This window comes from Homo sapiens, chromosome 1, assembly GCF_000001405.40.
Source record: "Homo sapiens chromosome 1, GRCh38.p14 Primary Assembly".
Taxonomy (NCBI): Eukaryota; Metazoa; Chordata; class Mammalia; order Primates; family Hominidae; genus Homo; species Homo sapiens.
Window position 1 is genome coordinate 180,067,806 of NC_000001.11, and position 14,024 is coordinate 180,081,829.

General features: G+C 35.3%; 1 protein-coding gene across 27 annotated transcripts in view, besides 1 other annotated feature; it reads left to right on the forward strand.

Annotated features, from left to right (window-relative positions):
* The window catches only part of CEP350 (centrosomal protein 350), a 160,066-nt gene that overhangs the window by 112,996 nt on the left and 33,046 nt on the right, over positions 1-14,024 (forward strand). For 14 of the 27 annotated variants that reach the window (NM_014810.5, XM_047435442.1, XM_047435459.1 and 11 more), the window contains 3 exons: positions 7,217-7,416; positions 10,658-10,869; positions 12,712-12,856. In NM_014810.5, coding sequence (NP_055625.4) covers positions 7,217-7,416; positions 10,658-10,869; positions 12,712-12,856 — 557 coding nt within the window. Of the gene's footprint in view, positions 1-5,980; positions 6,104-7,216; positions 7,417-10,657; positions 10,870-12,684; positions 12,857-14,024 lie in introns of all 27 variants that reach the window. The other 13 variants (XM_047435433.1, XM_047435436.1, XM_047435384.1 and 10 more) reach the window with 3 other exon arrangements.
* Positions 6,975-7,175: a silencer, noted in NCBI's record as "peak480 fragment used in MPRA reporter construct". NCBI's record gives its function as "represses an SCP1 promoter by STARR-seq MPRAs in K562 erythroleukemia cells {active_cell/tissue: K562}" and the evidence as "EXISTENCE:reporter gene assay evidence [ECO:0000049][PMID:32103011]".

Consider the following 14,024-nt stretch of genomic DNA (forward strand, 5'->3'; position numbering starts at 1 on the left):
CTAGCTTTTAAATACCATTTATATTACCGGAGCACCATAGTTTGATCTCCTTCAATGATGTTGGAGTGTCAGCTCAATAAATAGGAAGTCAGTTAATTTCATAGTCATTCGCTATGGTAGACACCTAACAACAAAATCATTTGAACCTCTGCTACTTCGTGAACAACAAAATCATTTGAACCTCTGCTACTTCATGACTAGGAACTTAGTTGTTCCATAGATTTGCAAAGGCAGTCATTCCTATTTTATTGTTATAAATCACCAAAGAGTAGTCGTCCTTCTCAGTAAGTTTAGCTAGTTTTTAGTGGGAACCTTTTCATTTTATAACTTTCTGAACTCTGATTATATGACAGATATTTTTCTGAAGTGATCATATCATTTTTGGCTATAGTGAAAGATTTCCTTTTTTAATATTTTACTGAGACAGTAATGCCTTTGTTGAATATTAAAAACCATATGTTATATTCCTAACATATGGCTTTTCTTGACCTCTTTGTTGAGTAGACATTTTATAAATGTCATATAATTTCCATTTATCAGTATAGTAAAAAGCAAAAAATAATATTCAAAATGTGAAAGACATTAATAATAATGAAAACATGTTTGCAAAAGACATACAGTAGATCTAAGCCATGAACTGAATAGCTCTCAATGTTTTTGGTTTTATTGTTAAGTGAAATCTGAGTTTTATTACTGTGAGGGATATTATTTACAATTTAAGTGGATTGCCTATAAACATGAAACAGATATTCATGAAAAAACACCATGCAATTGACTGTTCCTGTTTATGGAACAAGTGAAACACTGAAAGAATGGAGTTTTCTTCATCTTTAAGTGTTTCATTACTTAAAATAGGACACTGCATTTTTTCTTTCATTTGTTAACAGTAGCTTCTTCTTCCATATTATTTATTAATTATACACTTACTCTCTCAGCAATTGTTTATTGATTAATGTGTGAGTATGCTAAGTGCTGAGGGATACCAAGATAAATCAGACTTAAGCCCTGTTCTCAAGCTTAGAGTGTAGACAGAAAAAAGAATGAGGACAGCTTCACATAGAGAAGTATATCTAGATCAATTGTTAAGGAAGTTCAGAAAAGAGAAATTCTTACTGACAGTATGATATATGTCAAGGACATTTTCATGGATGAGTGTACTTTTTTAAGAGTCTCACTATGTGGCCCAGGATAGGGTTGGATTCAAACTCCTCAGTACAAGTGATCCTCCCCACTCAGCCTCCTGAGGGAGTTAAATATACTGTTGAATTAGTAAGTACTTTCAAACATAAAAAGAAGGGGCAGAAAGTATTTAGCTATTTTTTGGTTTGGTCATTCATTGCAGACCGAGGTAGCATAGAAAGATGAAGCCTTTAGTCACAAAACATTTTAAATACTCCTTTTACACTTCCCAGTTGGCTTACAAAACTGTTAAAGGAGAAAAATTAATGTATTTGGTTTTAAATGATTGATCAAAAAGTTAAGCAAATAAATATTTTATGACATTTCTCTGTCCAAAAGTACTTATTATAGTGTCTGATCAATGTCGAAATCTTCACCATTAATCTGAATTTTAAAAATGAAGGATTTTCAAGAGAAGGCTTTTGATATTCCATTAAAGGAGATATTTTAATTAGATTGTCTTAAATAATAATGTTAAATAGCATTGCCTCAAATTGAATAGAAATTTCTTAGACAACATTCTAGTCTATGTGTAGTAGCTGAATAAATCCTGATAGTCTGATACTTTGTTTTTATTCTCTGCAGGAATTCCTAGGTCAGGAATCATGTGCTGTATTATTTTGTTTACTTAGGTGTATGTAAATTATTAGATAATTTTAAGTAATAGAATAGATTTTGCTATAGAAAATCATACCTAAGCTACATTTTCTTTTCAGTCAGAACTATCTGTATCCTCATTTATCCTCCTGTTTTTATATTATTAAAGATGCTAAAGTACTCAAAAGAATCCATTTTAAAATGTAAAGCACTATGTTCCATTTTTAATTATAACAGTAATAGAATTAAAAACCCAGAAGGAATAAAATGATTTAAGGTACTAAGTTTTTGTAAGTTTTGTTTTGGGAAGAGTAAAAAGTAGTGTTTTAGTTTAGCTAGGTAGTCTCACTAGTTTGGGGATACATAGCATTGCATAAGGATTCACTAATAAAGCAGCAATAATTTTCTTCAAGGTCAGTACAAATAGAGCAGTGATTCTTAACTTTTTGGGGATCTTGAGTTCGCTTGTAAATTAGATGAATGTTTTGGAACCTTGCCTCAGAAAAATGTATGTACACACATATATACAACTTTACATGCAATTCCAGGGTATCCATGGACTCCTTGGTATTCCAATGGAGAAACAAATGATAATGGAAGCACAGTAACATCCTAAACAAATATAGAACTGTAAATGTTTCTTCTGTGAAGGTATTAAGATTTTGTTTTCGATATCTTTTATAATGAAAGGATTTTTAGACCTAGGAGTTCCACTTAAAATTTAGTTTATAATTTTATTCAAATTATAGAATGATTTTATAATCTGTTAGAATGCAGGCGACAATTATATCAGCTCGGTGGGCAACAAAAGGTCTCATTTAACGTCACATGGTCTAGCAGTCACACGGTCTGGCAGTCTTTTGAGGTACAAAATAAGTGGAAATATTCCAACGGAGAAAGAGTCATAAAATGTTAAAATTGGAAGGGCTCTTAGGGAAGCCATAAAATAAAGTCCCTTTGTTTTACATGAAGAAATTGAGGCCCACAGAGTTTATGTAACTTTCCTCAGGTCACACACACACAGCAGAATGGCAGAGCTGAAACTAGAACTCTGTTCTCCAGAGTTCAGCTAGCTAAAGTCAAAGTTAAGTTAGCGTATCTGCTTTCAACCTCATAGATTTTTTTAAAACCTAAATTGATGACTTAAAGTTATCTTCATTAGAAACTGATCCTTCTAAATAGTATTTTGTTGAAATTAGCAAAGTGCTAGATGGCTAATTACTGGAGTTGAATAGCTGTACAGAGCAAGTTCAGAGTGTGAAAGTGTGACTTTAAAAGTGAATTAAGGCCAGGTGCCGTGGCTCACGCCTGTAATCCCAGCACTTTGGGAGGCCGAGGTGGGCAGAACACGAGGTCAGGAGATCGAGACCAACCTGGCCAACATGGTGAAACCCCATCTCTACTAAAAATACAAAAATTAGCTGGGCATGGCGGCGCGTGCCTGTAATCCCAGCTACTTGGGAGGCTGAGGCAGGAGAATCACTTGAACCAGGGAGTTGGAGGTTGCAGTGAGCCAAGATCATGCCATTACACTCTAGCCTGGCGACAGAGCACGACTCCATCTCAAAAAAAAAAAAAAAAAAAAAGTGAATAAAGCCGGGCACGGTGGCTCATACCTGTAATCCCACTACTTTGGGAGGCCGAGGAGGGTGGATCACCTGAGGTCAGGAGTTGAAGACCAGCCTGGCCCACATGGTAAAACCCCATCTCTACTAAAAATCCAAAAAATTAGCCGGGCGTGGTGATGCGCGCCTGTAATCCCAGCTACTCAAGAGGCTGAGGCAGGAGAATCTCTTGAACCCGGGAGACGGAGATTGTAGTGAGCTGAGGTCGCACCATTGCACTCTAGTCTGGGCAACACGAGTGAAACTCCATCTCAAAAAAAAAAAAAAAAAAATTTAAAAAGTGAATTAAGCTGTGCGCGGTGGCTCAGGCCTGTAATCCCAGCACTTTGGGAGGCCAAGGCAGATGGATCACCTGAGGTCAGGAGTTCAAGACCAGCCTGGCCAACATGGTGAAACCCTGTCTCTACTAAAAAAATAAATACAAAAATTAGCCGGGCATGGTGGCAGGTGCCTTTAACCCCAGCTACTTCAGAGACTGAGGCAAGAGAGTCGCTGAACCTGGGAGGTGGAGGTTGAAGTGAACTGAGATGGTGCCACTGCACTCCAGCCTGGGCAACAGAGCAAGACTCCGTCTCAAAAAAAAAAGAGCGAATTAAGTACTCATTAATTCCTTAAGTTCAAACATTTTAGAAACATAATGATTTCCATACTAGACTAAATCTGTTGTATATCTTATTCTTGTCCAGTGTTCCGTTACCATCAGAGGACTTGTTGGGGAAATGCCTTGACATCAATCAAAAGCATTTTGTATTAGTCGGCATTTATGTCTCCATCATTCACAATTTTTATTTCTTTCCTGTGTAGCATCTTGAAGGATTATTAATTCTATTGTGAAGTAATGCTCTTTCATCTCAACTTTATTCAACGTTTAAAGAGCACTCCTATAAGGAATGTATTTATATTTACACTCCTTATATAAGGATGTATTTATATTTAATAAGGAACATGTTTATGGAAAGAAGTTCTAACTTTAAGTTAAACTTTTCTTACTCTGTTTTTTAAACTATTTTCATTTTCTATTAGTTATTTCGTTCCTCATTCCTAAACTAGAGCTTTGGAATATGCTTAATCTTTAATAGAGGAAAATTATTGGTCTCTGTGTTGGGCTAGAGAAAAAATTTAAATTGTCTATTTTTAAAGTTTATTTCACGTGTTCCAATATTATTTTACTTTTTGTACTAGGTCATGCATGCATTTAGCAGTTATACACTTAAGAGGGTGGGTGATATTTGAATGTTATGAATAGATTTTTTGAGCCTTTTGCCAAGTGCCTTTGTTTTGCATAATATTTTGATAATTGGCATCAAAATAAGTTTATTGTACGTTCATAAAGAATGGCAAGGAAGATTGTAATGTCTTAACTTGAAATTTAGCAAAACTGTTTTTCTTGAATTTCAGTGCAGAAAATCAAGGCAATCCAGATATGAATATGTGTGTTTTTGCGTGTGTGTATGTGTGTGTAAGTGAAGGGGAAATGAAATACTAAGTTATATGTGAGGAAACAGACATTAAAATAGTCTGTTGTCTAAAAATACACATAGGCAAGATTATACATAATTTTACAAATCCAAGTGAATGGCTGGATTTATACCTAGATTTTCTCACTTCTATGACATACTGATATTACTCCTTGCCCTTCCAAGGCAATAAATGTTGCCTTGATCTACAAGTTATTGTCATGTGCATGTGAACAGGAGCATGCTCTGTCAAAGAGAATTAACCTTTCCAAAGGTACTACTAGACTTTTTAATCCATACACACACGCACGGATCTATTTATTATTACAAAAGAAGAAAATATGTTTTTTCCTGCTTTTATAACTGTAAAATGGAATGTTCTTCTTACCTTTAACCTTATGATTGAGCTGTCCATATCAGGTTTTTTTTTCTACTGACTATTTATTGGGACTAGCTCACTTTATTAATTATGCATCCTGATATCTTATAGAATGGATAGTGTATTTCAATATTATTAATTAAGTGGGCCTTTGTTAGATATAAAGCAAGATACCTCCAGTAGGTCCTGTTAGCAGTAAGTTTTATATTGTGGAGGTGAACAAGGTATTTTTGTGTAAATCAGTTTACTAAATTGTATTATTTTCAAGCTAGATTGTGATGGTAAGGTTAAGTAAGGCAAATGTAGTATTTTAAAATACATGATGAGGTACAGATTAAAAATCACTTGCTCAGGATTACATATGTGTGTAGAGTTGCTGATATACTAGGTTCATGGCCATAATTGTTGTACTGTCTGTTAAAGCTTAATTGAAAACTAATTTAGTCCCACAATGTACTTCTTATTACTTTACTTACAAATAAGTAAATTTAACTGAAAATATAGATGGTGGTTAAGCAACATATGAGAAGAAAGGCATGTTTATTCAGGAATCATTGGTAAGATCTATAAAAATACACTTTTAAAAATGTCACACAGAGTGTAATGCCTGCTTTAACTGAGTCACTTATAATGTTCTTCAGGAAGCATATTAAAAGTTCTTCACTCAGCTCTTACGCTTTCCCTTTCTCATTCTTCCTGCCTCTTGATCTCTTGTTTTTAAAATCTTCCTCCTTATTTTGTAGACACTGCTCTCCTGTTCACTACTTCTTCTCTGTCTTTACGTCTCATCACTGGGCCTCTCTCAGTGTCTGTTTTCCCAACCTTCATCCCAAATTCCAGCTGTATATCTACAACCAGTTGGTCAGGTAACTTTGCACCTTTTTCAGTGCACTCTTTGATAGAGCATGCTCTGTTCTTTTTGTTTGTTTTGTTTGCTTTTCTCTCTCTCTCTCTTTTTTTTTAATAGCCTGGAGGCCTCTTATCAAATGTCCCATAAATTTTACCTTTTGTTTCCACATTAATTTGACATGATGATGGCTCAAGAAGTAGAGTGACAGCTCTTCTTGTGCTTTTTAGTAAGTGTTTGTGCGATACATGTACGCATTTTTCTTGGTTAGCTACCACTATAGATGTAACACTAGTAATGTGAGCAGCCCACATTTTATTTAGTTGTGGCATCTACATTTGAAGATGGTTTATTAGTAGCCTCTAAACTAAGTAATTTTTCCTAACTCAGTAATTTCTCCTAACCCTCTGGGCCTAAGATATCATTGGCTATTTAAGTTCAGAAATCAGGTTAAATTGAGAATTTGATGCATCCCTTTACTCAAGTAAATAAATAGTTACGTTTATATGCATAAGACATGGACTGTGGTACTCAGTGTTCTCTCCATGAAAAAAAAGATTTACCACTTGACATTGTATCTCTTAGGTAATGAAGAAACAAAACTCATTAGACCTGAAACAAAGCCAGGCAGAAATTTAAAATAAAAGTAAAAAAGGGACATGAACATGTTTTTTGTTTGCTTGCTTGTTTTGGGGCTTTGGGGTTTGTTTTTTATTGTTGTTTTTGGTATTTGTTGTTTCGGGTTTTGTGTGTTTTCTGGTCTGAGCCTTCAGAATACATTCCTTACATCTTCTGTTATGGAAAAGAATAACCTACAAAAAATGAATATCTAAATATGAACATTATCAATTATGGTTGTCTAGATATTCTGAAGGTTTTTTTCCTGAATATACTGTTATCTTTCCTTTGCTAACTTTACAAACCATTATGAGTAAAACATAAATTCCCTCATTTTCTGAACAAGTTGACTCATGAAAGCTTCTATTATCTCAAGCTTTTTTCAGAGAGAAGAGTAGTATGAATGTTCTGCTTTTGCACAGCTTGTTGATAAGGTGGTGAGTGATAGAGCTCTCAAAGTGATCTCTGCATATAGGTTTTTTCTCTCAAACTGTTCTTCATGGTGTGACCATAGGTTTCTGACAAAGCGGGAGCAAAAATTAATGCAACGGCGACAACATGCAGAGGAGCTCCTAGAGTGGAAGCGACGTTTAGATGCAGAAGAAGCAGAAATTCGTCAAATGGAAAAACAAGCTTTGGCTGCCTGGGACAAAGAATTAATAAAACCCAAAACTCCTAAGAAAGAACTGGAGGACCAGAGAACAGAACAGAAAGGTAATAAATACTAACTCTGTTCACACTACAAACTAAAGCCTAACATAATTGAAAGATATATTTCATTACTTTTAAAAATGCGAGGCTGGGCGCAGTGGCTCACGCCTGTAATCCTAACACTTTGGAAGGCCAAGGCCAGAGGATCGCCTGAGGCCAGGAGTTCAAGACCAGCCTGGATGACATAGCAGACCCTGATTCTACAAAAAATTAAAAAATTAGCTGGGTGTGGTGGTACATGCCTATAGTCCTAGCTACTGAGGCAAGAGGCTTGCTTGAGATCAAGGTTACAGAGAGCTATGATCAACCCCACTGTGCTCCAGCCTGGGTGACAGAGTGAGACTCTGTCTCTAAAAATAAAATAAAATTAAAATGCAAATGATTGAGGTGATGCAAATGATGAGAAAGATGATATAACCACAAATGCTGGAGAAATTAGAAAAAAAAAAATTGTGGCTAGGCGCGGTGGCTCATGCCTGTAATCTTAGCACTTTGGGAGTCCGAGGCAGGTGGATTGCCTGAGCTCAGGAGTTTGAGACCAGCCTGAACAACACAGTGAAACCCCGTCTCTACTAAAATACAAAGGAAATTAGCTGGGTGTGGTGGAACACACCTGTAATCCCAGCTACTTGGGAGACTGAGGCAGGAGAATTGCTTGAACCCAGGAGGTGGAGGTCGCAGTGAGCCAACATCGTACCACTGCACTCCAGCCTGGCAACAGCGAGACTCCGTATCTCAAGGAAAAAAAAAAATTGTAATAACTTTATTCCAATACAAACTTGAAAACTTAGAAAAAATGGCTAAATTCTTCTAAAAAATACAACTTACCAAAGCTTACTCAGTAAGATAAGAGAACCCTCCTGATTCTTTCACCAGTAAAGGAATTGTACCCCAGTAACTAAGCATCTTTTTACATAGACCTCATCCATCTTTACCAGTATACTAGATTAAAGGCGGCAGTTGGGGGAAAACCTGGTATTATAGTTCTTTACTTTTCCATAGAATAGAAAAAGAGACATTTCTCAACTCATTTTATGAGGCTAGTATATAAGTTTGATGTTATGTCCATAAAAGGACAGTATCAGAAAAGGAAAGGCCAATCTTACCTATCCTGAATTATGTATTAGCACACCAAGTTCAACTATATATGCAAATCCTAATACTTAATGACAGAGTAGGATTAGCACACATTAAAAAGTTGATAATGTGGTGAATTACCTTACCCAGATTAAAGGAGAAAAATTGATCATCTCAATGGATTCAGAAAGACATTTGATAAAATTTAAAAAGCATTTGTGGGCCAGACACACCTGTAATCCCAACACTTTGGGAGGCTGAGGTGGGTGGATCACTTGAACCCAGGAGTTTGAGACCAGCCTGGGCAACATGGTAAAACCCCGTTTCTACCAAAAATAAAAAAATTAGTTGAGCATGGTGGCACACACCTGTGGTCCCAGCTACTCAGGAGGCTGAGACATGAAAGTCACCTGAGCCCAGGAGGCAGAGGTTACAGTGAGCTAAGATCATACCACTGCACTCCAACCTGGGTGACAGAGTGAGACTCTGTCTCAAAAAAATGAATCAATAAAAATAAAAAGCATTTGTGATAAAATAAATAAACCTCAGATCATAGTAGCCATAGAAAGGAACTTTCTTTACCTGATAAAAGGTATTAACAAAAACAAAAAACCAAACCTATAATAGATACCGTACTTAATGATAAAATATAGAAAGTTCTTTTGGATTTGGAGATAAGACAAGGAGGCTTATTTTTAGCTCTGTTCAGCATTGTGTAGAGGTCCTACACAGTACATTTAAGGCTAGAAAAAGAATTAAAAGCTATAAGGAGTGAGAAGAAGCAAAATTCTCATTACTTACAGTTAATAAAACTATACACATAGGTAATCCAGAATTTACATGTTAATTATTACAGTTAATAAGTGAGCTTAGCAAGGTTTCTGGTTATAAAATTCATATACAAAATTCAATTGCATATCTATACATCAGCAAAAATTGATTAGAAAAATATATTTTTTAAAAAAGATACAAATAGAAACAATATATAATAGAAACAAAAAATATGAAGTACTTAGGAATAAATTTAACAAAAAGTGTACAAGATCTTTATATAGAAAAATTTAGAATTTTATTAGGAGACATTAAAACCAAAACAGCCTGGGCACAGTGGCTCACACCTATAATCCCAACACTTTGGGAGGCCAAGGCACATACATCACTTGAGCTCAAGAGTTCATGACAAGCCTGGGCAACATGACCAAACACTGCCTCTACAGAAATATTAGCCGGGCATGGTGGCGCAGGCCTGTAGTCCCAGCTACTTAGGGGGCAGAGGCAGGAGGATTGCTTGTTCCTGGGAGGTCGAGGCTGCAGTGACCTGTTCGTGCCACTGCACTCCAGCCTGGGTGACAAAGCAAGACCCTGTCTCAAAAAGTAAAAAAAAAAAAAAAAAAAAGCCAAAATAAATGGAACATTATTCCATATTCACAGATTCAGTGTCATAAGATATTAATTCTCCTTAAACTGATCTGTAGATTCAAGACTATTTACATCAGAAACCCAGCAAGGTTTCTTCATAGGAAACCTTTGTCAAGCTCATTAAAAAATTTATATGAGGCTGGGCATGGTGGCTCACGCCTGTAATCCCAGCACTTTGGGAGGCCGAGGCGGGTGGATCACCTGAGGTCAGAGTTGGAGACCAGCCTGGCCGCCATGGTGAAACCCCATCTCTACTAAAAAGACAAAAATTAGCTGGGTGTGGTGGCATGTGTCTGTAATCCCAGCTACTTGGGAGGCTGAGGCAACAGAATCACTTGATCCCGGGAAGCGAAGGTTACAGTGAGCCGAGATCATGCTACTGCACCCCACCCTGGGCAACAAGAACGGGATGCCATCTTAAAAAAAAAAAAATTACATGAAAGAACAAGGACCAAAAAGCAAAGACACTACTAAAGAACCACAAAATGCAGAAACTTACTTTACCATACATCAAGACTTCTAAGGTGTAGTGATTAAAATAATAACATTTGCACAGAGAGAGACAAATAGACTGTGAAATAGATAACCCAGAAATAGATCTGTGCATCTGTGGAAGCTATGACTCTCCTGTTTGTGGGAGACAAAAATGCAGTAAGTAATAATATGCTAAAAACAATGTTTATTAGTGTAATTTTCCCATTGACCAAGATTGTATCTTTTTTTTCTTGTTTTCACCTTCTCTGTCTAGAAATAGCAAGTGAAGAGGAATCTCCAGTACCTCTGTACTCTCATCTAAACAGTGAAAGCTCCATTCCAGAAGAATTAGGCAGCCCTGCTGTTGAATATGTACCATCCGAGTCTATAGGACAGGAGCAGCCAGGGAGTCCAGATCACAGTATACTTACTGAAGAAATGATTTGTTCACAGGAACTAGAATCTTCTACCTCTCCTAGTAAACATGTAAGTTAATGTATATTTATATCTTAAAGATTCTCTAGAAAAAAAACTGAAAGGTATGTTAGCAGTTATATTATTGTAATTAATGACAGTGTTAACTGTCACCATACTTGTAACATATAGGATATAACATTTGAATAGAAATAAAGCTTTTCATTTACAAATATATGAATTTTGGCATTAGTGAAGGTTATAAAATCATTTGCTATCAAGTCTGTGAATATTGAGGGAATAGGAACTTCTAAAGTCTTTATGAAAAACAGTTTGTAGGAACAACACAAGTTCTTTCTGAAATTTGTTTTTTCACATAACAAAAACAGTAAGATCTTAAACCACACCAGAGTACCTTTACTGTAACTGAATTAATAACTTATGTATAACTCATAGAATAAAAGTAATGGTTTAGCCTCTTAAAGGCAGCTCTGAAACAGTTATTGATTTTAAATTAAGATGATGGCCATTATTAAACTAAGATTTTCTACATTGTCCTTAATCGTGTACTTTATAGAAAAAAAAACTAGCTGGTAAAAACTCAAGATAGAAACTTAACTCTTTTTTTTTTTAATATAGCAAATAATTAGCATAACAATATTAAATATTTAGTATACTGTGGTATACTAAAGTATACACAGATGTTGTTAAAGCCTCTTTATGTTTAAAAAAAGATCTGCCCAAATTCAGAATGGAATATTCTTTGTTGGAGTCTTCCATTTTTATTGTGATAGAAAGAATTAATTTTGTTTCCCCATTGAAAAGTCAATCAGGTTCATTTGTGTTACAGCACCTAGAAGATCTAGAAGAAAAACATATTTTATTCATTGAAGAGCCTATTAAATATTATGTTAAAAAATATTTCAATGTCCTTGTGCACATACTTGAAATCAGCATTTTTAGGTTATTAAAGGCTTTTAATAATTATATTAGTGGTTTCTTATTATATGATAATATTAGACTTATATAGATAATTTACTTATAGCATTATCTTTTATTCCGTAAATTTCTACCTTCGAGGAATTTACAATCAAACTGCCTTTATACAATCTTAAAAGTTTATTATCTCTTATAAATCAATTAGATTCTACCTAGCATCATTATTGATGAGGCTTGGAATAGCCACAAACTGGCTATTAAAAATTAGAGCTTTTTTCACAGGAAAATATATCAAGGAAATCAAAACTAGTATGTCTTAAAGTGGTTTTTATAATAAAAGCTAATATTTATTAAGTGTTTATTTACGAAGTACTTACCAAGTGCCTTACGTGGATTATCTCATTTAACCCTCGCAAGAATCCTATAAAATAGATACTGTTCTAATCCCCAAGCTAGGAAATTTGCCCAAAGTCACAGGGATAGGAAGTGATAGTAGCTAGGAATCAAATCAGGCATCTCACTTCCACCTGATGTCAGGATAGAAATTTTGTCTTTTGTTCTCTTGTGGGCAAACTTCTTACGCTCTGTTTTCTTCTTCCCTTCCTCTCTCCTTTCCGTAAAAGTAGTACATACTGAGTATTTTTAAAATTAAAAGAATGGAGGGGGGCGGTAAATATTACTGACACAATAATCACTTCTAATTTATTGTAAAACTTTTTTAAACCATGCTCTTTTATAATTTTTTTCTATGCCTTCAAAAAAAAATGAGGTCTTATCCTTTATATAATTTGTAACCTTTTTTTAAAAATCAGCTTTCCCAGGTTGAATAATTTGTAAACTTTTTTCACTTATGTCTTAACAGTTATCTTAAATTCTTTGTAAATGTTATCTTTATATGGCTAGTATGTCAAATTTTAAATAGAATTTTACAATTATATCAAAAAATAGTTTCCATTTGGTTTTCTGTTTGAACAGTCACTTCCCAAAAGCTGCACATCTGTGTCAAAGCAGGAGTCTAGCAAAGGAAGTCATAGGACTGGAGGACAATGTCACCTGCCTATCAAGTCCCATCAGCACTGTTATAGTTGGTCAGATGAGTCATTATCTATGACACAGTCAGGTAAGACTAATCATGAGGAGTTTTTATTTGTGTTGTATTTGAACAGCCTTTACTCTAAAAGGCTTCAAGGAGTTTGTTGACCTTAGGAAGCATATGTAGACAGACAGTGGTGAGTTTATGTAGGATTGTGAAGAAGATTAATACCATATTGAATATTGCCATATTGAATATATCGAGTTAGGCATATTCAGTGTATTGCTTTTTTTGTTATTTTTTAAGACAGAGTCTCACTGTGTCACTCAGGCTGGAGTGCAGTGGTGCGATCTTGTCTCACTGCAACCTCCGCCTCCCAGGGTCAAGCAATTCTCCTGCCTCAGCCTCCCGAGAAGCTGGGATTACAGGCACCCGCCACCACGCCTGGCTAATTTTTGTATTTTTTTTTTTTTAGTAGAGACGAGGTTTCACCACGTTGGCCAGGCTGGTCTCAAACTTCTGACCTCAGGTGATCCACCCGTCTCGGCCTCCCAAAGTGCTGGGATTACAGGCGTGAGCCACTGCACCCGGCCCACTGTACTGCTTTTTGAATTCAGTTTTAGTTTTGAGAGTAAACATTTAGTAAACGAAACATGAAAATTGTTATTCTTTGGGTTTTTTTTGGTAATTAATTATGTGTTGTACCTTTTTGTTTTCCATGTGTCAGACAATTATAAATCATGGAATTTTCCTACACCCATGTTTACAGCTCTTCTTTCTTCTTTGAGTAACTATATAATATTTCAAAGAGTAGATGTACCATAATTTATTTAACTGTTTCCCTAGTGATGGCTATTTAGATTTTCTTAAATATTTCACAATTGCAAATAATGCTATAATAAACATCTTTATTTAAAGATTTACACACACATATGTATGCAGTCATGCATCACTTAACGTCCAGGATATGCTCTGAGAAATGTGTCATTAAGCAATTTCATCATTATATGAACTGCGTAGAATGAACTTAGGCAAACCTAGATTGTGTAGCCTTACTGCACTCTCAGGACATATGGTATAGCCTCTTGCTCCTAGGCTGTAATACCTGTACAGTATATTACTATACTGAATGCTATATGCAGTTGTAACACAATGTTAAGTATTTGTATATCTAAACATAGAAAAGGTGTAGTAAAAATATTATGACTCACATGTGTATGTGATATCATATATCATTTATGTGTGTGTTTATCAT